Source organism: Homo sapiens, chromosome 4 (assembly GCF_000001405.40).
Source record: "Homo sapiens chromosome 4, GRCh38.p14 Primary Assembly".
NCBI lineage: Eukaryota > Metazoa > Chordata > Mammalia > Primates > Hominidae > Homo > Homo sapiens.
Window position 1 is genome coordinate 27,000,192 of NC_000004.12, and position 26,394 is coordinate 27,026,585.

At 35.1% G+C, this 26,394-nt stretch overlaps 1 protein-coding gene across 3 annotated transcripts in view, besides 3 other annotated features; it reads left to right on the plus strand.

Annotated features, from left to right (window-relative positions):
• The window catches only part of STIM2 (stromal interaction molecule 2), a 164,541-nt gene extending 139,351 nt beyond the window's left edge, over positions 1-25,190 (plus strand). The window contains exons 6-13 of one of the 3 annotated variants that reach the window (NM_001169118.2): positions 2,026-2,203; positions 2,736-2,913; positions 7,342-7,509; positions 7,792-7,815; positions 8,237-8,337; positions 8,573-8,811; positions 17,520-17,793; positions 22,328-25,190. In NM_001169118.2, coding sequence (NP_001162589.1) covers positions 2,026-2,203; positions 2,736-2,913; positions 7,342-7,509; positions 7,792-7,815; positions 8,237-8,337; positions 8,573-8,811; positions 17,520-17,793; positions 22,328-22,805 — 1,640 coding nt within the window. In that variant the 3' untranslated portion in view covers positions 22,806-25,190. Of the gene's footprint in view, positions 1-2,025; positions 2,204-2,735; positions 2,914-7,341; positions 7,510-7,791; positions 7,816-8,236; positions 8,338-8,572; positions 8,812-17,519; positions 17,794-20,809; positions 20,878-22,327 lie in introns of all 3 variants that reach the window. The other 2 variants (NM_001169117.2, NM_020860.4) reach the window with 2 other exon arrangements.
• Positions 746-805: a silencer, noted in NCBI's record as "silent region_15342". NCBI's record gives its function as "represses an Ori minimal core promoter by ATAC-STARR-seq in GM12878 lymphoblastoid cells {active_cell/tissue: GM12878}" and the evidence as "EXISTENCE:reporter gene assay evidence [ECO:0000049][PMID:35858748]".
• Positions 17,126-17,627: an enhancer, noted in NCBI's record as "H3K4me1 hESC enhancer chr4:27018939-27019440 (GRCh37/hg19 assembly coordinates)". NCBI's record gives its function as "activates a minimal SCP1, AML or CMV promoter by ChIP-STARR-seq in primed H9 embryonic stem cells {active_cell/tissue: H9 hESC(primed)}" and the evidence as "EXISTENCE:reporter gene assay evidence [ECO:0000049][PMID:30033119]".
• Positions 17,628-18,127: an enhancer, noted in NCBI's record as "H3K4me1 hESC enhancer chr4:27019441-27019940 (GRCh37/hg19 assembly coordinates)". NCBI's record gives its function as "activates a minimal SCP1, AML or CMV promoter by ChIP-STARR-seq in primed H9 embryonic stem cells {active_cell/tissue: H9 hESC(primed)}" and the evidence as "EXISTENCE:reporter gene assay evidence [ECO:0000049][PMID:30033119]".
• Positions 25,191-26,394: the final 1,204 nt, after the last annotated feature.

A 26,394-nucleotide genomic window follows, 5' to 3' on the forward strand; every position in this document is an offset into this window, starting at 1 on the left:
TGGGAATGGCCCTTCTAAAAAAGGGTAACTAGAATTGGTTGAATAGATTTTATGACTTTACTGGTGGTTCTTTTTTGGCTTGGGCTAAAAGAGCAGCTGGTGAAACAGCTGGAACTCCCCATATGAGAGCTGGTGGAAATGCACTGTTGGTGGAAATTACAAACCCTAGGAAATAGAACACTACTGAAATGCCGAGCGTTCCATAGAGATGATGCCCTTTCCAACCTTTTCCTTGTCCTCACTTCCAGACTGAATCCATTGGGGGATTGTCTTCTGTGGGATTCTGTCCAATTTTTCTCATGTGAGTGGTTGGTAAAAATAGGAATTAAAGTATAGAATTTGTTTCTATTTACAACTTGATCAGGAATACTCATATTTTATTAATCTTGGAACTAACCCCTTTCTAAGCCCCAAAAATTATATTACCAAGTCATTTGAAAAGAAATCAAACTAGTCTCAAAAAAGATTGTAAACAAATATTTAAATAAACCAATTAAAAAGTTAATGATTTTAAATATGTTTGTCTTAGAATGGTTGAGTGAATGTGCCCCATAGTCAGAACACTTATGTTAGATTTATTTTAAAAACCAGCATTGTCAAATGAACAGAGATACATTTTAAAGTTTTTTTTTTTTTAATCTTTTCCAGTCTGTGGTGCTTATTATTGAGTGTAGGACCTTATTTATCTATTTATTGTTATTTATGGTCAGAGAATAGGGCTCACAGTTGAAGGAGAACCTGAATTGAACATCTCAGTGTGAGGCAGAAATAAAAAATGCTTTTGAGATTGTAGCTTTCAGCAGTACATTTCTTCCCCTACAGGTGGAAGGGTGAAGGTGTACACTCTGGCAATGTGGAGAACTGAGAGTCTCTGACATAGAGCATGCTACATATCACACTACACAAACATAGCCAAACCCCAGACTTGTCAGCCTAGGAACTTCTGTAGAACTCTTTTATGTCACCAAACTTCAAAATATGTTTCTGCCGGAGGCCTGGGCATTTAGGCAGTTTTTCACTGTGAGCTGTATCTCTTTGGAGCATTAAAATAATATATTAGCTATCATTGTGTCTCTGTTCGAGAGAGCCCCGTGAAAATTAGTGTGTACTGACTGGGCTAAATCAGGAAATCTGAATAGTGATTTCTGTGTTTTGTATCACTGAAGGCAGTAGGCCCTGGCTCCTCACTCTTTGTTTTAGACATAAGGCTGGGGGTTAACATCATACCAGTAACCCCCATATCTCTGGCATATAGACACCTAAAACTGAATAATTGTTATTACTATTTAACCCAGGCTTTATCAGCCTTAGCACTAGTCACTCTTTGGGCTGGATAGTTTCTGGTTAAGTCTTTGTCATCCGCAGAGGGGACACAGGGAGGAGGTTGTCTTGCGCACTGTAGGGTGTTCAGCAATACTTCTGATGTCTGCCCACTAGGTGCCAGTAACCACTCCCCCAAGTTGAGACAACCCAAAATTGTCAAATGTCTGCTAGGGGTGGGTGAGGAATTATCACCAGCCTTGAGAACCACTGATTAACCTAACCTAATTAGTTATATAGCTGCCTCCTTGGGGAAAATACATTTTGGTGAGTGATCAGGTTTATAAGTGTGAGAGAAACGTGACAGCTGCCTAGCTTGACTGAAGGAAGGGAGTTGGGATGATGGTGGTGATACTTTTGATGACTCCCTTCACCCCACAGAGGACCATTCTGGCAGCATATGATTGGAGGTGCTGTTGCTTTTTCAAGGGTCCCCATGACTTTGACCACTCCTTCTCCCACCAGCAGGGGCGTGGTGTGTCTATATGGGTTTACCTCTGCCCTTCTATAAGTCTAGTATATCAAAGAGTTACAAGAAGCACAGTCATTATTTGAAGAAAGAATTTTAAAAGGCTAGAGCTTGTGCATGGGAAAGAGATCTCCAATTTTTGGTTTTGTTTTAGATACTACTTAAAAAATGTCTTTTTGTATTGAGGTCCTGTCATACTCAAAGATTAATTTAATCATCTGTAATTCTTTTAATAGGCCCACCTCATAACTGGATGAAAGATTTTATCCTCACAGTTTCTATAGTAATTGGTGTTGGAGGCTGCTGGTTTGCTTATACGCAGAATAAGACATCAAAAGAACATGTTGCAAAAATGATGAAAGATTTAGAGAGCTTACAAACTGCAGAGCAAAGTCTAATGGACTTACAGGAGAGGTAAGTTCAGAAAAATCATAACTCATTTATGTAGGCAAATACAATTTGTAAAAAAAGTGATATGGGCATGTGCTTAAATACTTACATTTAGGTTATTATACACATCAGGAATAGATGCATATTTGATTTCACATTTTTAGAAAAGTATACTTTTATAATTACAGATTTATTATAAATGTGTATACTTGAGAATAAATGAGTAGAAGAACAGTGGAGGTAAGTCAAATATAGTGGAATTAGATGTGTAGTTAAATTTTATTTTTAACTTGATTTAAATAATTAGGAATTTTTGAAAAGCTTTTTGCGGAAGAGTATTTCCCTGCTTTCCCTGTCATTTGAACCCAGGATAACCAAAATAGCTGTATAGTAAGTTGCCTGATATTTGTATTAACCAAACTTAAGGCTAATGAAAAATGCTATGATTTCTGATTGAAATATGTATTTAATCGCTTGACCCAGTATTCATTATTTTGTAAAAAAAAATAAAACTGGAAATTTTTGTGAGGAATTTTTATTTTTATTGTTCTATAAGGCTTGAAAAGGCACAGGAAGAAAACAGAAATGTTGCTGTAGAAAAGCAAAATTTAGAGCGCAAAATGATGGATGAAATCAATTATGCAAAGGAGGAGGCTTGTCGGCTGAGAGAGCTAAGGGAGGGAGCTGAATGTGAATTGAGTAGACGTCAGTATGCAGAACAGGAATTGGAACAGGTATTTACATTAAAAAAAAAATCACTTGTAAAGATGTTAACATTGCCACTCTGAGGAGCCAGGTCCTGTTTTTCTTCAGTTTCCTACATTTAGTTCCACTGTAGTTCCTCAGTTGATAAAAGACTCATTTGTTTATGTTGTTAGCATTGATCAAAGTTCATATAGCAAAATAACACAGTAGTAACTGAAAGATAGTTACCATCATGTTCACTCATTCATGAAATCTTACCTTGCCATCTTCACTGTCTTGAGTAAATTTAAGGTGTTTGTTTAACATCTGTAATATGTTTAAGTTTCTGACTATAATGTAGTAAGATATAAAGTATATCTAATTTTGAACTTCTCTGCAAAGGTAAAGGATCTCTATTAAACATCCATTTGAATCCTGTTAAATAGTTTTAGAACATAATCTGCTAAAAGTTCTGAAGCTCCTTTCCAATACCTGCTTCTCCTGTTCAGTTACTTAAGATAGAATATAGGCATTTAGGCATTGCACGGAGTCCTTTGGAGAAGGTGAGGTGCTGGCAGAATTTAATTATAGACAGATGCATTAGTTTCCTGTTCCTGCTGTAAAAAGAAAAAAAAAAGCCACAAACTTAGTGGTTTAAATAAACAGAAATTTATCATCGTAAAGTTCTGGAGGTCAGAGTGAGTTGAGGCGAGCCTGCAGGACTGTGTTCCCTCTGCAGGCTGTAGGGGAGGACGTGTTTCCTTGCCTTCTCCACTGGTAAAGGCCACCCACATTTCTCAGCTCATGCCCCTTCGTCTGTCTTGAAAGCCCATCATTCCAGCCTCTACTTCTGTGGTCTCATCTCCTCCTTCTGACTTTGATGCTTTCTTTACTGATAATGAAACTGAAGAACAAAATGAGGATTATAAAACTTGCTCAAAATTAGAGGTGACTCAGTTATAAAGCAGGGGCAAGAACTTAGGTGTTCTGCCTCCACTTTGTTTTATGCGCTGTTGCTGCCTTCTTAATAGAGTGCTAAATAAGAAATGCAAATTAAGTGATGAATGACATAAGGTCAACTCATGAGAATACATTACTGTTTCCTTCAAGATTGTCATTTTATGAGAATATGTCTGACTGAACACAGCCATCTTTTTTATAACTGTTAACCACTCCTTCTCTCACACCCCCAGATGTCTGTTTTTTGGAGCTCTTCCCTCTAAGGACTCTTAGATGTATTTTACAGTCATGCCTCATTCAACTAACAAACCATATCAGCACAGAATGTAGCAAAGAATCAGGGAGTTGACAAAAAAGGCCTAGTCGAAATCATACGGTATCCGAGAAGTGGGTACTATGCCCTTTGCACTCCTGTAAGAACTCCCTGCCTTTTTCCACCAAGACATCCAACTCTCGGTTTGTTCTGGTATATTTCTGTCTTTCTAAACTTTGTATATAAAAAAGAGCGAATCAGAAAACAGTAGTTTGGAATTCTTCTACAGAGATATAAACTGATGGTAGTACTTCACAGGTGCCTGCCTCACAGTGAGGGAGAAGAGACAATATAAAAAAAGGGCCCAAGAATTGTGGACATTCTAACTTGAAGCTTTGGGAGAGAGACCATGCACACCTCAGTAGACCCCGAAGTTACCAAAATGTGATGTATTGGTATTATTGGTATGAATAATCTCATTAGATCCTTGGTCAATAAAAGGCGGTTTAAAGGAAGGAAATTGGTATTTTAAAAAGAACACTGTCTGGCATGATCGTATTAATAAGAAACACAATTTTCTGAGGGCTTACTGTGTGCCAGAAGTGTATGCTACACACATTGCCAGTGGTTTGCTCATAAATTTTAATCCTCACAACACATAGGTATTATCTTCATTTACAAATGAGCTGTGTAGAGAGGCTAGATAACTTACTTGCCTTGGGTTACACAGCTATTAACTGGTAAAGGCAAGGTTTTGCGTGTCATATTCCAAAGTCTGTGTCTTCTTATACTGCTATTAAAAGCTTTGCTTGTAGAAATAAGTTTAACTGAGAAATGATGTATAATATGACATAACCCACAATTCCACGTAGTTCAAGGAATTACTGTATTTTGTCTGGAGAATAATCAACATAAATTTAGAAGTCAGGAAAATCTGGTATGTTTTTTATATAGTGTTATTTTTCCTAGAACAGAGACTTTGGGTGACTAATAGTACTGCTTTATGTTTTGTGTGATTTAAGTAGTTTTCACAAATTAATTTCTTAGAAAAAGTCTCAGGAAGCCTTTAATCAGGGCAAGTGATAATACCCCTATTATACGTGAGACAATAAGCCTTAGGAACTTACTGAAGGTTACAGAGATGAAAAATAATACAGTTGGGTCTAGAAAAGAAGTTTTCAGATGTTTAGGCTGTTTTTGTGACATCATGTTTTTACTTACTGTTGTTTTATTCCAAAGATACAAAAATCATGTAAATAATTATTACATTTTAAACAGTTATTTATTGTTTGCAAAAGCTGTTTATTACTCAATTTTTTCTGTGTTCATTCCCCTGTAAACAACAATGTGATTTAAACTAAGGGTTGGGATTTAGATCAAATGAAACATTCATGAGTAATAGCAGAGAAAACAGTTAAATAGTTGCCACTATTGGAAGGTCAGACTTTCCACAGGTTTGAGTCATTATTTGGCAATCAATCTGAACATTGTTCAGCTTCAATTTATGCTAAAAATATGTAAGTAGTTTTTATGTTAAATGTGTTTCCTTTGAGCTCTTTTAGGGGAAATACATTTATGGAAATATTAAGAAAAATCTATGATTAAAGAGAGTAACTTGAATGAATTTTGTTGAGATTCTCTGTATAATTCCTTGGAAGTGAAAATTGTATAGAAATTTTAGCTTTAAAATCTTCTGAGAAGAAGGGCTTGCGGACTTACATTTTGTGGTGTTATGCAGGTCTGCATGAACCTGAGCTTAAATTTTATCTCCCTGAGAGATTAGCAGGGACGCCACACAGCTTACCCAACTGACTTATTAAACACAGTATTGTCCCAAGCCATTGCAGTTAGTTATGTAGGCAGATGTTGCTCGGGATTTGTTTGCAGTGAGTTAGTGCTCTTCCCCTTACTTTAATGTGTCTTTTTGAACTGTCACCTAGTGTTGCATTGTGAATTTTGTTTTTAATTTTGGAATCTTAAAATATATTTTTCTACGTAATTCTTTGTTTTCACACTAACTGACAGCTGTTCTATTTCTTTATCAGAAGTTTGTGTATAGTACTCTTGTTGGTTTATTCTGGCACACTATAAAGTTTATTCAAATAAGTTGGGTTTGTTCAGATCAAACATTCCTTTGCTCTTCAGTGTCCTTAGTTAGCTTTGGGGAAAATTAATCTGCGGGGTGGTGCTCGACACGCAGGATGCTCCGTAGTCGCTCGTAGCTTTGCCTCAAGGTCTTGAGTGTGAGTGTATGTGCACAATTTCATAATTACATCCTGTGTCTTTATATATCTTTAGTTTGAAAGCTCTTGCTAGTTTTTAAGTAAATCATTCCAAGAATGAATTATCTATTCCTTTTGTGTCTTTCCTTAGTGAGGCTTTCCTTATGATACTTTTTCTTAGCACTTATCACCTAACCACCAAGCATTTTTGTTTTTTCTCTGCTTATTGTCTGGCTCCATTAAAGGGCAGGTGGAAGAAATACTATGACATCGTTATACTGAAGACTATGCATAGTTTCTCATGAGAAAAATCAAGTAGACTCTCAGAATCTGTTTTCTCAAAATCTGTACATGCTCTGCAGATGTTCACTTAGCTAGTTTCTGGTGTATTCAAAGCAGTGAATTATGTAGCGGAAGTGGTAAAACAGACAATAATAGGCAGATATACTTGGAAACAGTAAGAAATAACTGGCCATAAAGAGGATGTCATGAAAAACTACAGAAAAATACAATTTTTAAAAAGTGAGTATATAGTGAAGGAGCTACAGTAGGCTCTTCTGGAAACATTAGGAGGAGGAGTAGAACGTGTATCCACCCAATTTTGGACATTTCTTTATATAATACTTCATAAATGAAATATGCATTATGGGAAAAATATGATCAGTTTTAATTTGTATATACCCTTGACTTTTTTTTCCCCCTCAGTGAGTCTGGTTTTCATAACATACAAAACTAAATATTGCAACTTAAGATATAAATAAGCCCTCTCTACCCTCCTTCACAACTTTGCTTAGTGGATTTAAGATGCACTTGAAGCTCAGCCTTCATTTTTTTTTTTTTTTTGAGACGGAGTCTCGCTCTGTTGTCAGCCTTAATTTTAATGCTAGAAATCTACTGTATTTAGACTTTGCAGTTTAAAACGATGTTTACAAAGAGCATAATTAAAATAGCTTTTTTTTTTTTTTAGTTTGGGTTCTAAAAAATATTTTAATCCTTCCTTCCTCCCTCTCTCCTTTCTTGCCTCCTTCCTTTCCTTCTTCTAGGTTCGCATGGCTCTGAAAAAGGCCGAAAAAGAATTTGAACTGAGAAGCAGTTGGTCTGTTCCAGATGCACTTCAGAAATGGCTTCAGTTAACACATGAAGTAGAAGTGCAATACTACAATATTAAAAGACAAAACGCTGAAATGCAGCTAGCTATTGCTAAAGATGAGGTACTCTCTTGTATTTCAAAATTTACTAAATTTGTTTCTTAGGCTGCATTCTTAGAGGGATTACTCAGCTGGGATACACAGATCTGAATAAAAGTTTTATTATTACAGATTCTTTTTTCAAACTGGAACTTATTGTGTAAATAGACTCTAGTAATCATAAGCTTTAAATTAAAATTACTGCATTTGGAGAAGTGTATACTTTTCAAAGTGACCTTAGTGATTTAAACATTATTCTTTTTTATCATTATCATAAAAGTTTTATACAGAGCTTTTTTCCTCTAGGTTGCTGCTTCATATCTGATTCAGGTTAGTAGTTACTGGAAATTAACTTTGACACTTAAATTGTGTGGAATGAGAATAAGTCTTAATCTGAATTCTAGCCAAAAAATTTAAAAGCTTAGTTCACTCACTAGCACCATTGTAGTATAATATAGCTAATGTTCTTCTGTTACTTTTAGTACAAGATTCGGGTCTTCCTGAACCATAGAAATAAGAGAAAAATTCTCCAGAATAAAGTTTTGAATTACATCGATTGGCTTAGGAAAGCACGTTTTCTCCCTCATCTGTTTTCTTTTTTGGAATGCAGGGATATCTTGGCTAGTAATTCTCTACTGGTTTTATGATTGCTAATATATTCAAAACCAAAACAAACTTTATTATGTTATATATACAAAAATGTCTGTATTTTTTTCAAACCTAGCCTTATTTAGTCCTTTTCGGTTTCTAGGCAGAAAAAATTAAAAAGAAGAGAAGCACAGTCTTTGGGACTCTGCACGTTGCACACAGCTCCTCCCTAGATGAGGTAGACCACAAAATTCTGGAAGCAAAGTAAGAATGTTGTTTTCACTTTTATTTGATTTATGTTTATTGTGTTAAAATGAGTAATTTGTGAACAATTTATATTTATCATTTATATAATTACATAATTTACATTAGTTTTAAGAGTGGGTTATTTCTTCTTGAAATTAGTTAATTGCCATGGTCTGTTCATGTATTGCCTTTTTTCAGTGCCATATTAAAGACCTTTTGATGCAGTAAGTAATTTCTTTATTGGCTTTTCCAGGAAAGCTCTCTCTGAGTTGACAACTTGTTTACGAGAACGACTTTTTCGCTGGCAACAAATTGAGAAGATCTGTGGCTTTCAGATAGCCCATAACTCAGGACTCCCCAGCCTGACCTCTTCCCTTTATTCTGATCACAGCTGGGTGGTGATGCCCAGAGTCTCCATTCCACCCTATCCAATTGCTGGAGGAGTTGATGACTTAGATGAAGACACACCCCCAATAGTGTCACAATTTCCCGGTAAGTGGCAATTTCAACAAAAATTGTTGGTACAGGTTTTAAAGTAATTTTCTCCTATGTCCTTTTAGGAATCATGTACTTCGAAATCTGTGAGAAAAAATTGGGTTTATCCTTCATTTTCTCTTTCTTTTTGTTAGTAATTTAAATATTTACTATTTGAGAATACCATATGCAATGCATATATCAATACTTTGTGTATATTTATATTATATATTTATACACACACTTTAAAGAAATCTGAATGCTTTATAAATTTGATTATTAAGTGTTTATTTGAGCAACTGTTATATATAACATTATATTGTTGAATATAAGACTTTTTTTAAAACATTGCTTGTAATTAAATTGAAATGAGGAGTCATATAAAAACATAATTGACAGTAAAGATAGCACACTATAAATGCCAAATCAGTGTGGGAATGAAGTGCTGAGCATTCAGGGAAAATATCCTTTCAAATGGCCGCTTAATGTATAGTAGGAATAAAAATTAGGGGAAGATCTTGGAAACAGGGATTTGAATCCTAGCTCTACCACTAACTAACTCCAGGTATGTACTTGTATTATTTTGCTGGTTTTACTTCTCTGGTTTGACAGCAGACAGTTAATGCAAGGAGAGTGAGGCGGCACTCAACTCTTAAAAGAGGCAGGAAGAGTGGACAGATTGTAAATACAGCAAAACTAGAAGTGTGTGACTGCATTCATTTCACTTGCTCCACACTGCAAGGTCATGACGGTTGCAAAGTTATGTCTAGATCTGGGCCAGCTCTGCAGTTAGAATATTCTCAGTTTGTATTTGTTTATTTGAATTATATGCACTTAAGCTTGCCAAATGCAACACTGATTCATAAGTACACGCTTTTGTTTGAAAACTATAGCTTTTAAAAGTTGAATTTCCTCCTTAAAATCCGTGTTTAATATCTGAATTGTGCATGAAAGTGCATTATCTAGATTAACTAGTTTTTTTCTTTGCTTTTTAAAAAACACTTTTTGGGTTGGGGGCAGAGGTATTGGATATCCATATGTCCGTTAAAAGGAAACAATTGTACTAAATGTGAATAATTATTCTAGTTTTAAGTGATTGTGGAATACAGGCAAATTTAAACTTTTAAATCAGAAAAAAGTACAAGAGTTGATTTTAAATTTAATGTTTTAGAAATGTTGTGATCAGGCCAGGCACGGTGGCCTGTAATCCCGGCACTTTGGGAGGCTGAGGCAGGCAGGTCACTAGGTCAGGAGTTCAAGACCAGCCTGGCCAACATGATGAAATCCTGTCTCTAGTAAAAATACAAAAATTAGCTGGGCGTGGTGGTGTGCGCCTGTAATCTCAGCTACTCGGGAGGCTGAGGCAGGAGAAACGCTTGAACCCTGGAGGCAGAGGCTGCAGTGAGCCGAGATTGTGCCACTGCACTCCAGCCTGAGCGACAGAGCAAGACTCAGTCTCAAAAAAGAAAAAGAAAGAAATGCTGTGATCAGATTTATTATCTCTAAAAAATAACTCATGTCAAAGATTACAATTTGAGAGCTCTGCCTCCACCCAGTGGCACCACAGAGGTACTCCACTCTGCTTAGTTACAAAAGCCTAATTTCTGGACCTGATAAATGGGAAACTCTCGGCAATAGAAGTCTAGGGAAGGACGAAGGCTCTTCATTTCTATACCCTCCTGAGCAGTTAAAATTTTTTTTTTACCATGGATATGTGTAAATTTTACAAGTTTGAAATAATGACAAGGAAACATGCCTGTAGTATGTTAAGAACAAAGTAAAAGGTTGTAACAATATACACAGAATAATATTGTCTATGTGTAATTATATGGAAAGAAAAAACACAGAAAATATCAATGGTTAGCTCTGTGTAGATAGGGGAATGGGTGTTGTTTTCCTATTACTTTTTAAAATGTCTTTTCCTATTCTTAAATATCTGCTAAATGCTTTCCTTGGTGAGAATGTGATAACAATTTATTTAAACTTTCCTATAAAGCCATCCACACACACTTAAAGTGACTGAAAATAATATGCCCACCTACCAAAAAGATAAACAGGTTTTAACATTTTTCTTTATCTTTTTCTCTGAAATAAACTATTACAAATACACTTAAACCACATTGCCTACCCTTCCCCACTGTTTTAAAGTTGTGACTTATGCTAAAGCCTGTTGTACTTTTATTACATACATATATATCCATAACATTATATACAATGGTTGCGTGTTTAGAAGTGTATATAAATGTTATCAAACTAGGTGATATTTTACAACTCTTTTTGCTCAAAAGTTATGTTTCAAAATTTTTTCATGTTTATGTAGAGATGAATTAAAGTCACTGCTTAATGAGTTAACCATAACTTATATGTTTATTTATTGTATTTAAAAATCCATAGTTTATCCGTTTTTCTACTTTCTACTTTCTTGGCCCTTACAAACAATGTGCAACAAGCATCTTTACCTGTATTTCCTTGTGCATAACTTTGAGAGTTTCTCTGTGTGGACACCTAGAAACGGACTGCTGGGTCATTGGGAAGGCACCTTTTACTAGTCATTGTCAAGTTGCTCTCAAAATAGTTTACATACCCACTGTTTTATAAGGGTGCCTGTGTGCCTGTATCCTCATCAGTACTTGGAATAACCTGATTTACTTGTTTTGCAACTCGAATGCGTATGAAATGATACCTCACAATTATGAAAATTTTTATTTCCTTGATGACTGTTGAGGTTGAGTACCATTTCCTTTATTGGCATTTGTTGTTCAGATTTCTTCCTGAGTTGCTTGTTCTTGCTGTGGAATCCCTGCAAGATTCCATACTGATGTGGAAGTGTTCTTTCTATTTTCTGGTTATTTGAGAGTTGCAAATATCTTCTAAACTTTGGCTTTTTGAATGGCAAATTGTGAATCTGATTTGTGTTTTTTATGTCTTTTTCAACAGATGATAGGTTGTTGTTTGCTCTCCTTAGAGTTTTTAAGTTTTTCTTTAATCCATTAGCCCTTTAATCCACCTAGAAGTTATTTTTGTTCATAGTGTGAAGTTGGAATCTAAATATATCTCTTGATATACGGGTAAACAGTTGTCTCAGCTTCATTCCTGTTCTATCCTTGCTGACTTATAATACCACTTCTCTCCATAGATACATAAGTGCTCCCAGCTCTCCCATTTTGTTTCACTGGCCCTATTCTGCTTTAGTTTCTAGAGTTTTATAAAAAGTTTTGATATTTGATAAGACCAAGTCTTCCTTTATTGTTCAAATTCAGAATTTCTACCCTTAACTAATCTTCTGAATTTTAAGATCAGCTTATGAAATTCCATGAAAGGTTCCATTGGGTTTAAAAAATTTTTTTTTGAATTTGTGAATTTATTTGTGGAGAATTATTAATCAATTCCATTTATCGAGATCTTTTCTATCTTTAAGTAAAATTGATAATTTATTTTCTCTGTGCAGGTCTTGCTTTTTTTAAAAAAAGATTAATTTTAGGTACCTTAATAAATTTTTGGTAGGTATATATGTTACCTTTCTTATAAAACTGTATTTCAGATTGCTTGTTGCTGATGAGGAAATGCCGTTGGATTTGGTGTGCTGAATACAGAATACCAAATACAGAAACATATATTTAAGTATTTTATGGTAGTCTTGGATTTTTCATGTTAATACTAGTAGATTTTTTCCTCTTTATTGCCCAAGCTAAGACCTCCAGTAAAATATTGAATGAAAATGGTGACTGCAGGCAATAGGGATTGCCATTTCTGACTTTAAAGAGAATGCTGCCAGAATTTCACCAGGAAGTATTTTTTTTAATGTTTTTGGTAGATTACTTTTAAGTTAAGGAAAGTCATTTCTATTTCTGTCTTGCTAAGAATGGTTTTTTTTGGTTAATCAGTGGATATTAAATTTTACCAAATTATTTTTCTGCGTAATTTGAAGTGATCATTCGTTTTTTATTCTGCTGAATTTTAATCTGTTTAAATAAATCCTTTAAGTGTCAGTGAAACTATATTTGTCACAATGTACAATTTTTAGAATGAGTTGCGTTTGGTTCGTTATTTAGGATTTTTGCATCTTTAATCACACATTGGATTAGCCAGTAATTTTTCTTCCTGACACTATCTTAGATTTTGGTATCAAGATTATATTAACATCATAAAATAAATGAAAGAGTAGTCCCCCTCTGCCCATATATGTGGTTTTGCTTTTCATGGTTTCTAGTTACCTGTGGTCAACTGTGGTCTGAAAATAGTGAGTAGAGTACAATAAGGTATTTCGAGGTGGGGGTGGGGGGAAACCGCATTTACATAACTTTTATTACAGTATATTATTATAATTGTTCTTTTTTATTATCTGTTATTAATCTCTTGCTGTGCTTAATTTATAAATTAAACTTTATTATAGGTATGTATGCATAGGAAAAACATAGTGTGTATAGAGTTTGGGACTATCCATGGTTTCAGGCATCCACTGGGGTCTTAGAATCTATCTGCCAAGGATAAGGGGGAATACTATACTCCTTATTCTTTCATTCCATTCTTTTCTACTTTTAGAGAGGCAGCAATATAAAGTAGGGTTAAGATGTGGAATTCTGGAACAAGATTGCTTGGGTTTGATTCTTTGTTCACCTTGTAGTAATTCTATTACCTTTTACTCAGGACACTGAGTGGGAGGCACTCTCCTGAGTTTCAGCTTCCTTTTCTGTGAAATGTAGCCTACCTTGTGGAGATATGTCAAAATTTAAATTAAGTAATACCTGTAAAACACTTGGAACCAGCCCCTGGGTGGGCTACAATAATCACCCATTAAATGGTATGATTTTATTCTGTACCTTGAAATAGTCTAAGGTATGGATTATTTGTTCTTTGAGGATTTTAAATACATTGCCTATGGATTGACCTTGATGTATATATGTTTTGGCAAGGAACAGAGTTTTAAACTATAGTATTAATTTAACTTCTTTAATGATTAAAAGTGTAGATTTGTGAAGTTACATGTTTCTAGAATATTGTGTTTTATCTGAGTTTTAAAATTTATTGGCTTTAAGTTGTTTATACTGTTTTATATGATGTAAAAAATCTCAGTTACATCTTTAAATTTTTTTGTTCCTAATAATTACTTATCTGTATCTTCTTTTGTGTCCTTTATCAGGCTGACAGTTTGTCTATTTTATTTCACTCTTGTCGAAATCCTGTTTGTTTTGTTAATATTGTCTGTTTATTTCTGCTCTTTTATTTCCTTTCTTGGAATTTACTTTTTTACTTATTGTTTTAATATTTATACACCTCCCACATGAATTTTAAGTCTTTGTTTTCTCTCATATTATTTTAAGGCTATGAATTTTCTCTTTAAGAACCACCTTAGCCACCTCCACAAGTTTTGATATATTAATTTGATTATGATCATCAAATATTAAAAGGTTTTTAATTACTAATATGTCACTTCCTTGAAATATGAATTATCTAGAAGCATATGTTTTAATTTCCAAATATGTATGTATGTTTTTTTTTTTGTTGTCTGTTGGGTTTTAAAAACATCTTTGCCTATTGATTTCTACTTGTGCGTGATTAGAGAATAGGTTAATATGACTTTTTTTGTATTTCCTGATACTTGCCTTGTGACTTAGTATTTATTGGTCATATATTTTAATGGTTCTGTCTATATCTGGAAATTACATTTTCTTAATTGTTAGTTACAGGGTACTATACAGTCTGTTAAATCAGGTGTTAGGATAAAATCTTCTGTATACGTATACATTTTTGTCTGTTCTTCTATGAGTTGCAGAGAGATGTTTGTTAAAATCTCCCATGGTGGTCAGTTTCTCCTTACAATTCTGCCCATTTCTGTTTTATATAATTTGTACTAAGTTATATTGGTGAATACAAGTTCAGGTATAATACCTTCTTTACAGATTTAACTGTTCCTTTTATAGTTATGTGGACACTGCTTTATGGCTATGCTTTTTGCCTTTAAGTTTATACTACCTGATATTGAAATACCTATAATAGCTTTCTTTTGATTAATATTTGCCTAGTGTATCTTTTTCACGTTCTTCAAAATTTTTCCATTATTAGACACTAGATATATCTCTATAAGAAAATAGCAGTAACTGGTTTTATTTTGTATCCTATTTGAGAATATGTTTCTGGCTAAGTTAAATTTAATCCAAATATATTTACTCTCCTTGCTGATCTGTTTGAATTTATCTCTGGAATCTTGTTTTGTGGTTTCTGTTTTTCACACCTTTTATCTTCTCTCATTCTCTTGAACAATTCAGGATCTTCAGAGGCTTTAATTTTAGCCACTGCTCTCGCATCTTAAATTATGTGTTAACGTTGTCTGGTATTTTGTTTTGTTTCAAATGTCTCTCAAAACAGTCACTGTTTTTGTTGTTTCTTTCAGTCATAATTTAGATATACTTATGTGTTTATTTCTCTGTTTATCATTGCATTTTGCTTGTTATTCATTTCTTTTTTTTCTTTCTTAAAAATATGTTCTTCAGTAAAAGCTACTTCAGTGAGCAACTGGGAATGATAAATTCTCTTAGTCTTTGCCTGAAAATACTTTATTTTCAGTCTCACTTGAAAGTAATAATGTAACTAGATATAAAATTCCAGATTAACAATTAGTTTTCAATAATTATTTCTCAGTTATTTTGAGGTTGTCATTGTTGCTGTTGAGAAGTTTGTAGTCAGTCAACTTGGTTCGGGTTCTTTTTAGATAAGCTGCCATTTCTCTGATTGCTTGAAAAATATTCTCATTGTCTTTGTTGTCATATGGTTTCCCTATAATATGATTGGGTGTGGATTTAAACAGTTTTTTTTTTTTTTTGCTAATATTTGGTGTGTTTCTTGAATCTGAAGGATGTGTCTTTTATCAGTTCTGAAAAAAAAACACTAGCCATTATCTCTTTGAATATTGTTTTTTCTTCATGCCTTCTGGAATATTAGTTATGTAGAAATATTAGTGCTAATATTAGTTTATTAGTTATATATTGCATCTTATCTTCCACATTTCTTAACCTTTCTTTTTATAGTCTTTTGATCTATCTATGCTGCATTTAGAGACATTTCCTCAGATCTGCCTTCTAGCTTACTAATTATTTCTTCAGTTCTAGTTTTAACTCATCCTTTGAATTTTTAACTCTAATTACTGTTTTTCATTTCTATTAGTTATCTTTGATTCTTCATCAACTCTATGTTTTAATGCTTTCTTTTCTCATATTTTCAATTTATTGTTATATAGTTTCATGATGTAAAAAAATCCCTATTTTTTAGTTTTCATTTGATAATCCTCTTATTTGATATTCTTGGTCAATTGTTACAGCAGTTTCTTGTGTTTGCATAGCGGATTGCTTTCTCTCTCCTGTTTTATAATGTTTTACTTAGCTATTGTTAAGGAGATTGGCATTATTCCACCCTGGAAAATACTGTGTGAGTGGTAAAGTGCCCCTCAAAATGCCTTTCTTTGCTTCTGGCAGTAGTTTCAAGGATATCACCAAGTTGGGAGCAGTTTTTTATATTAACTCTTTGGAATACAGTTTCATAGACCCTCTGGTAGTATGAACTTGCACTCCAATCTAATATGAGATGTAGGCTCAGAGTATTGAGTTTTTCACAGAAGCCCTTTAAAATGGCTATATTTAGAGATCTTGAAATAAAATAAATTTGCTTGCTAATTGGTTAGAATTTTACCCTTTCACTGAGGAATGTAGCCCTTCTAGGTCCAGGCTTTTATCCAGAGCACTGACTCATTATTCCAATACCTAACGTGGGCCCAAAGCCTAACCTTACAAGTGAAGTTGCCCATGCTGATGATGGGTTGTAAGGGCCAGTAAGAGAGAGAATGTCCAGGAAGTGACTAGTGAAGTGGAGGTGGAAGATTCAGTCATGTCCCTTAATAGTGTTCGCTTCAGCAGGAATGCATTTGTATAAAAGGTTGTAGAAGTAAGGGTGTGCAGACAGTACTGGGGAGCGAAGCCACCCACTTTTTGTTCTGATGCTATAGCATCTGAACCATGCAGGAGCGAACAGCTTCAGCTTGAGAAGGTTGTTATTAGGTGAGTTATGTTCGTTCAGTTAAGAGTAAGAAATGGAATGCCCATTTAGTGAGGATATTGAAGATGTAGGGGAAGTTTGTTTACCCACCTGCATGAGTCTCAACTGAGACTGGTAGCAGAAATAGTTGGATCTAAGACTTCTGTTTAGTTCCACAGTAGTGGGTGTTCAAGAAACAAGTTTTGCTCTGAACTCTGCCTAACCAGCTGTGAGACTGTGCATACAGTAGTTAAGTGATTTCCTTGATTTAAAACTGATTGAGTTCAAAGAACTTGTGATATTTCAAGAGATACCATTGCAGCCTACTTTATTCTGTTGTCCTTTCTTTATGTTAACAGTCATAAAAAATTTGTGATACAATACAGGTTTTTAAATTTAAAGATTTGTTGTCTTAGGTAAATTTTTAAGCCTTTTTGGTTAGTACATTTAGATTTTCTGTTAAAGCCTCATGTTTATGTTCACTTCTGTTTGTTTTTTAAACCTGTTTTTTTTTTGTTTCTATTTCTTAACTTTCCTAGTGTAGGTAGTAGAGAATGGTAATAACTGTACAGTAACTTCAGTAAAGGGAGATGAAACAGTGACATATTAGTGACATCAGTTCTCTTGTGTGTATGTATTTGTGGTGACTGTAAAGGGAACCCTGGACTTCATGAGCATGTTTCTTTCTTGGTGTTTTTCAGGGACCATGGCTAAACCTCCTGGATCATTAGCCAGAAGCAGCAGCCTGTGCCGTTCACGCCGCAGCATTGTGCCGTCCTCGCCTCAGCCTCAGCGAGCTCAGCTTGCTCCACACGCCCCCCACCCGTCACACCCTCGGCACCCTCACCACCCGCAACACACACCACACTCCTTGCCTTCCCCTGATCCAGATATCCTCTCAGTGTCAAGTTGCCCTGCGCTTTATCGAAATGAAGAGGAGGAAGAGGCCATTTACTTCTCTGCTGAAAAGCAATGGTATTGGCAGTGAATAATCTACAGGGCATGTTGGGGCTGGGTTGGGGGTAAGGTGTGAGGAGGGGGCGGGAGGAGTGGTGCATGTTTCCATTTTCTGTTGCTACATATCAAGGTACCACAGACTTTGCAGCCTCAGACATCACCCATTTTTTAGCTCTTAGTTCTGTACATCAGAATTCCAAGCCTGGTGTGACTGGGGTTTTTGCTCAGGGCCTTACAAGGCTAAAATCATGGTGTTGGCCAGGCTGCATTCTCATCTGGAGCTTGCAGTTCTCAAAGTTCATGTGGTTGTGGCGAACTTCATTTCCTGTGGCTCCAGGACGGAGGTCCCCGTGTCTGTGCTTTCTGTCAGCTGCATGGCGGCTGCTCTCAGGTCCTGGAGGCTGTCCACTGTTCCTTGCCACAGGATCTCCCATCTTCAAAGCCAGCAATAGAGAATTTCTCTGCTGTAGATTCCTCCTTTGCTTTGAGTCTCCAACTTCCGTCTCTCTGATCTCTAGACTAAAATGTAAAAGGCTCCCCTGGATAATAATAATCTCTCTATATTAACATCAACTAGTTTGGGGCCTTAATTTTATCTTCAGAATCCCTTTACAGCAGCATCTATTTTTATGTTTGATTGGAAAACTGGAAGAAGGTGTGTGTACACCAGGGGCTGGGAATTTGGGAGCCATCTTAGAATTCTGCCTACCACAGACATGTAGGTAGATATTTTGAGATGTAACTGCTTAGAGGTCACTGGACACGGTTGACTCAGATCTCAGAGCATAAACTTGTCATGAACAATTTTATATGTAAAATGGAAAAGCATGAGCTTGAATATACTTGAACACGAAGAAATATCGGATATGACTGACTTAAAAATATTTGTTGTCACTTAATGATTTATTCTGTTATGTGCTGGTACTTGCTAACACATAAGCAGTATCATATGCCAAAGGTTTAAGAAAATGTCAGGAACTTAGAAAAGTAAATTAGTAACTTAACAAAATGGGCATAGCAGCAGCGTATTTCAGTCCAACTTAATGACATCAGTGCTCCATGAAACTCTTAATTTGAGGAGCTCTGTTCTTAAACCACATTACTCTTTAAAAGCAGTATGGTATTGAGTGGTAGTTTCAGGTATTGCCACTGAGTAGCTATGTGTCCCCAAAGGCTTTACCCTCTTCTATGAGAAGCAAAAGGGAGTGGTCTACACTCTTTATCATGTGACTCTTTAGGTGACATTATCATCAATAATCATTTTTCATTCATAATTATCTAGTAGTAAAAGAAAATTTTATGATTTGCAAGTGATCAGTGCAGCATATTCCTAAGGAGATAATGCAGGCTTTATATCTTCATTGCAGTTGGAGAATCTGATGCGACTTTGCTTGGTTAACACTTTATGACTAGCTTTTCGTCTGTCTTTGCAGTATGATCATAGTCACCAGCAAGATGCCTTTACTGACAGAACTGGTCTTGTGTGGTTTCTGGAAATCAGAAGGAAAACTCGAGAGCTGCACTGTCTAATAAAACTTCCTGCATTGATGGAACGTTCAGTTCTCATTTCAATAGCAATGTCAAAGTTTCATAGCTAGCTCTCATAAATAAGAGAATGATTTGAATTTGGAAAACTTTTCTTCCTCTTCATTTTCAGTCTCTCCTCTATTGAACCACCAGAATCCTTACAAAATAATAATGTTGAATATTTACTGATTTTTTTTTTTTATGAGACGGAGTCTCGCTCTGTTGGAATGTTCTATGCCTTATGCACATATATGCTCATTTAAACCTCATTTTGAGTTTTCTTACATGTGAATTCAACTCCATGTCACTCTGGGGAAAAAAAGAAATAGAAAAAAATAGCATAAGTGGTACAGATAGTTCAACATTCCAAAGAGTATGTACTCTGCAAGAAAATAAAATTTGAACTTGTATTATGTCTTATTATCCAAGTCAGATTAGTTATGCAGAAGAAGCAACACTTTGGATTATTGTCATTACGCAATTCAAATGTTAGAACTAGAAGGTAACATTAGTGATTAATCAAATTTTCTTACTTTAACAGATAGGAAAATTGAGACCTCAAGAGATCAAGTGATTTACTGAGGCTTTTACAACTGATTAATGGTAGGACCATCTTAGGAACCCAAGTCTCCTGACTTAAATCAGTATTCTTTTCACACATTGTTTAGAGTTTAGAGGCTAGTTTTTAAAATACTTTTAGCCTAGCTTAGAATTTCACACACAATGCAGCAAAGCCACATAACAGAAGAGAAAATATTCATAAAATTATAACTGAATCAGCTTCTGACTTTGGAAGCTGAACAGCTTCAGGGAACAGTGATATATTCTGTTCAATTAATGGACAGCCATTCCAAAAAAGGCTTTGCAGAAATGCCTCTATCAATGATTGATTTCTGAGTCTGATCATTTCCTCATATCTGAACTGCTTCTTGCTTTCTGTTAGCACTACCCATTATTGAATTATAAAAGCATTTGAGAATTATGCAGCACACGTAGGTGTATTATGTGAAACCATTAGGTCGTTATTTAGGGGATTTTGTACCTTTCGAGAGCTTGTAGTGCAGTAAAGACGATCTTCATAGACATATGTGAGTAAAGTACATAGAAATGACTAAATTCAGCAATCTGAATATGTATCTAAAATGTGGTATTAACATAGAATATTCATCAAAATTAAGTGCCAGACCTCCAGTAAATGTGTACATCAGTAACATGAAAATGATATTAATCATAGGCCATCTAAGGTAAGAGATCATTTAGTTTATTCATTTTGTAAATATGAATTTAGTCCTTGCTATGAGAGGTGCATTTGCCTATAACATGAGCTGCCAAGACAAGTGAGACAAGGACCTGGCCTAGTTCCAGCTGCTGGGTTATAATCATATGTGCTCTTGCCTTTCTGTTCTGCCTTCAGCTCTGTTCCCTTCTCACACTGTATTTCTTTTGCCACTTTTTACCTTGACTCTCCCTTTCATTTCTCAATCATTTCCTTTCATGGAGTGAACAGTATTCACCTTGGGCTCGGTGCGTGCAAAAGTGAATGAGACTAAGTAGTAAAGCTCTCAAAAAAAAAAAGTGAGTAAGATGTGATCCCTGTTCTTTAATATCTCACTCTGTTCATTCATTCATTCACCCACCCTTCCATTCATTCATCCAACACATTTTTATGAAGTACCTACCGTAAACTTGCCACTCTTCTAGTGCAGAGAAGACAGAAGTTAATAAGGCTCCTTGTCCTTATTTATTTCTTTTTTTCTGGGATTCTGCCTATAAACAAGTTAATATAAAATATCATTTTAGGTTTTGGTAAGTTTTGGGGTTGCAAACAAAGACAGGTAAAAGGAAAGAGAATGCTGTTTCAGACAAGGTGGTTAGGGCAGGCAGCAGTAACCTGCGTACCCTGGAGAAGTAAGCCACGTGGAGATGGAGAGTAGATAACACCAAGCAGAGGGAACAGCAAATGCAGGGCCCTGAGGGGTCTCGAGGTTGGCATGTTACAGGAACACAAGGGAGTGTGCAGTTGGAGACAGCCAGGGACCACATGTACACGGCCTGGTACGCTTTGACAAGGACTTTGGATCTTACTCTGAGTATGAGAGAAAGCACTGGGAAGTTTCAAGTAAGTGAATGATATGTTTTGCTTGAGTTTTTAAAAATCACTTTAATGGCTGTGTAGAGAAGTAGCTGGGAGGGAAGAATGAGAATGAAAGCAGGAAGACCAATTAGGAAGCCGTTGCAATCATTTAGTTGAGTTCCTGGCTGTTGCAGAGGAAGGATGGGAGCAGGGGACATAATAAGGAATGGTGGATTTGAGAGAGATTTGAAGGAATGGGTGATGGCATTTACTATATGTTGGTTTTGGGGTTACAAAATTTATTTTTCCACTGTGGAGAAAAGGAGGAAAACATTCAAAAGTAAGAATGCTGTGAGAATTTACTGAATGTCTGTTTTTTTTAAAAATAGCATCATATGTTTGCCCCTCCCCTCCACTGCCATACTCTGATGTGCCTCGATTCCCTGCCCCCCTTTTAAATTTGGTAGAACTTACATTTTAGTGTAATTCCTTTCATGTATATTTCTTCCTTCCTAACAAAGCTATAGTTCATCAAGTTAATGACAAAGGGAGAGGCAGTGACTAAAATTCATCTTTTAAAATAGCGTTAACTCTGATTTAGAAAGAAAAATAGTATTGAAACAAAACATAAAAGTAGCTGAGATGATAGCTGAATCACCCGTAAAATTTAACATTTTAATTTATTTGACAAAAAGGAGGTGTACCTTATATTGTCTGTAGTTTGTAAGATTTCTTTATTATGGTTTATGTTAAAAATCCAGCATTGAGTTTTGAGAAGCCATATTATTTAAAGAAGTAATGTTCTAATTTTGCTGAAATGTATATAGAATCATATCATTTCCCTCTTTTAAATTTCAAAAAGCAATGAAAGTTGTTTTAGTTAGAATGTCTGCTAGTACTCTTAAGAACATACTGATTTAAAATTTGTACCTTTGTTTGTGTTTCATTCAGGGAAGTGCCAGACACAGCTTCAGAATGTGACTCCTTAAATTCTTCCATTGGAAGGAAACAGTCTCCTCCTTTAAGCCTCGAGATATACCAAACATTATCTCCGCGAAAGATATCAAGAGATGAGGTGTCCCTAGAGGATTCCTCCCGAGGGGATTCGCCTGTAACTGTGGATGTGTCTTGGGGTTCTCCCGACTGTGTAGGTCTGACAGAAACTAAGAGTATGATCTTCAGTCCTGCAAGCAAAGTGTACAATGGCATTTTGGAGAAATCCTGTAGCATGAACCAGCTTTCCAGTGGCATCCCGGTGCCTAAACCTCGCCACACATCATGTTCCTCAGCTGGCAACGACAGTAAACCAGTTCAGGAAGCCCCAAGTGTTGCCAGAATAAGCAGCATCCCACATGACCTTTGTCATAATGGAGAGAAAAGCAAAAAGCCATCAAAAATCAAAAGCCTTTTTAAGAAGAAATCTAAGTGAACTGGCTGACTTGATGGAATCATGTTCAAGTGGCATCTGTAAACTATTATCCCCCACCCTCCACTCCCCACCTTTTTTTTGGTTTAATTTTAGGAATGTAACTCCATTGGGGCTTTCCAGGCCGGATGCCATAGTGGAACATCCAGAAGGGCAACTGTCTACTGTCTGCTTATTTAAGTGACTATATATAATCAATTCATCAAGCCAGTTATTACTGAAAAATCATTGAAATGAGACAGTTTACAGTCATTTCTGCCTATTTATTTCTGCTTTGTTCTCAGTGATGTATATGCAACATTTTGTTGAAAGCCACGATGGACTTACAAGCTTTAATGGACTCGTAAGCCAGCATGGGCTTGCAAAAATTTCTTGTTTACCAGAGCATCTTCTTATCTTTCCACAGAGCTATTTACATCCTGGACTATATAACTTAAAAGAAGTAAAACGTAATTGCACTACTGTTTTCCAGACTGGAAAAAAAAAAAATCTCTGCAAGTGAAACTGTATAGAGTTTATAAAATGACTATGGATAGGGGACTGTTTTCACTTTTAGATCAAAATGGGTTTTTAAGTAGAACCTAGGGTTTCTAATTGACTTGATTTCTGGAAATGAAAACCCGCGCTTTTATTATGGGAAGCTTCTTGAACTGCATTTACTATTGTGAAGTTTCAAGTCCCGCTGTAAAGATCATGTTGTTTTGTTTTCCCCAGGGCTTTCACTGTGATTTACTGCATTGCAGGCTGTATGATAAAACACACATAATTTAAAGAGAGAAGGCTCTTGATTCCTTATGCAAGTGGAAGAGTTGAAACTTGATTGAAGGACTTAAAACATTCACAACCTTAAGCCGAGGTGGGGGGATATGGGGATTCAGGCAATTGTTTACACACTTTGAATAACTGCAAAGGATTTACGGTTTGTGAAAAATGTGTACTGTGGAAAAGATAATAAATTGAAGACATTATTGTGTGGGATTGTGCTGATTTTTGTTGATAACACAAAAAACACTATGTTTTCTGGAGAGCTGTGTAAGCTGTCTTGTTGCTTAGTTGCAATATAAGAAATAGTGATGTTTTGGACGTAAGTTGTCAACAAATTTCTATTTTATATTGTTATATTTTTATGTAGTTTGAAATGTAAAAATGTTCTAATATCAAGATTAACAAATATAAATTTATGGTGCATTTAGATTGCGTTGTATTAATTTATAAAGTATGGTGTTCATTAAATTGGTGGGTTGTATAAGGGTAGCTTTTGTTGTTAAAAAAACAGTAGAGAGTTAAGTTCCATATAGCAACAAAGTATGTTAACATCTAGGGAGTTTCTGCTTATACCACTTTAAAAATATGCAATCATAAGTGATTTGGTTACTGCAATGCAGATGGATGTTTGGATGAACAACTGATACATTTTAGTTAGAATGCTTTTTCAGCATTATGGCTAAAATATATGTCTAACCCAGTGCTATTTAGGTGAAAATGCTAATTGATAAACCAGAAGTTTCTTTTGAGATTTGCTTTAAAGAAATGCTTTAGTAAGAATATGAACAATTTCCTGATGTCTCCTATAAATTGTGATTGTTTATTCTATTACTATTGTTAAAAACTTGAATGGTATTTATATTGGCTGATATTTATATACTTAATAGATTGAGTTCTGTAAGGGCAAAAACGGATTGAAATGAACATAGCGTTTTGCACTAATGATAAGATAACCTGAGAGGTAGGGTTGAGGAACACAGGGTTGAAAGCTGTTGGAGAGGGGAAAAGTTGTGCATAAAGAACTGAAAAGGGTTCTGGAGTGTTCATTCAGAGTGAAGGGAAAACTTTATCCTTCTATTTCTTATAACCAGACAGGAGGAGTTCTTCCCTTTGAAAATTGCAAAAGGAATGAGAACTTTGCAGTTGGATGAATAGAGAAGGGAAAAGTTGCTGGAGCACGGAGTGAAGATGGGAGGAGCTGTTAGCAAGGCCCACTGCTGCTCCTGGGTGAGAAGGGAGCTCTGGAGCAGGACCAGCTGGGGGCCGGCACTGCTGCTTAGAGTGGAGGAGGCTGGCCAAAGAGACTGTGGGCTGTTTTCAGTCAGGGAGCATGTGCATTGTTTGTGCTCAATTTCAGACACTCATTTATAAACAAATTCAACCAAGGGATATTTACTGCTTTATGTTGCTTATGATAATTATTTTGCATTAATACAGTATACACATTTGTAAATTCAACAGGAAATTATTGAGTTTTGGAAAGCTACAGTAATTTCTGTATTACATCATTTATATGTGAAAAGTTGGACATTTCTGTAAGTTTTTAAAATTATCCATTTGTTACTTTAACATTTTAAAATTATGGTGTTTTCCTGATTTTAAAAGCAATATTTTCCTTACTGTAAAAAAAAAAAAAAAAAGATCGATGATAGAAAAGTATAAAGAAGAAAATAGCAAGCAGGTCAAATACTACTATCCAAAATGATCACTTTTAATATTTTAGTATGCTTTCTGCTAGATCTTTTTCTACATATTGAAGTATATTTTACATAATTGAAATCATACTATATATTCAATTTTATATCATGCTTTTTCACTTAATATAAGCATTATCCCAACATCATTAAAACTTCATGAGCAACATTTTAATGACTGTATAATAATATGCTGTTGTATAAATTTACCATAATCTTTTGAAGTATTCTGTCATTAAACATTTGGCTGTTTCTAAATTTCTGATATGTGGAGTAAGAGCATTTCACATTTATTGAGCACTCTATATGCCAGGCACTGTTCTACACTCTTAATTTATATTCTCATTTAATCTTTACACCAACTCTGTCAGGTAGGTACTTTTATTATTATTACCATTTTACTGATGAAACTAAGCCCAAAAAGTCAACTTGCTGATGGTCATATAGCTAGTTAGTGATAGAGCCATGTTCTTAATTTCTAAGTCATACTGCATAAAGTCTAATCAACACTTTGGTTTCCTAGGGCATATAGTTTTAGAAGTTTACAGAAAAATATAAGGATTTTTAGTTTACATTTTAATATATATGTACCTGTGTATGTATATATACACACATGTAGTCTCACAAGCCTTGGACATAACTTTTTAAGGTTTCTTATTCATATAACCATGTTGATAACCACCCTCCATTCAATGTTTGAATGTGTATGAGTGCCCTTTGACTTCACACTACCTTTTCCGAATTACCATTTGGTTAAAACTTTGTTAATTTAATAGGTAAATATAATGTCTAATAAGGTTGGAAGGTTTTTTTCGTGTTTTCTTAGCCTTGTGTATTTTTTATTTTAGTGAATTGTTTGTTTTTGTGCCCATTAAGTTCTTGGGGTCCTACTGTTTTTCTAAATCTTTGGCACAGTTAGCTAGTCTTTGAAATATAGCTATTCTTGTATTCTTCATTTACTAACTATTCAGTGATTTCAAAAAATGATACATGTATTTTTCATAGTGATTTTAAAAGTAAATGAAAGAAAACCTAGATTTAAGTTTTAGTCTTATTGATCTCCTGATTTGGGGTCTTGAATGGGAGAGTTTCACATTGTTTATATGGTCAAGGTGGATTTTCCCCAAAAAATT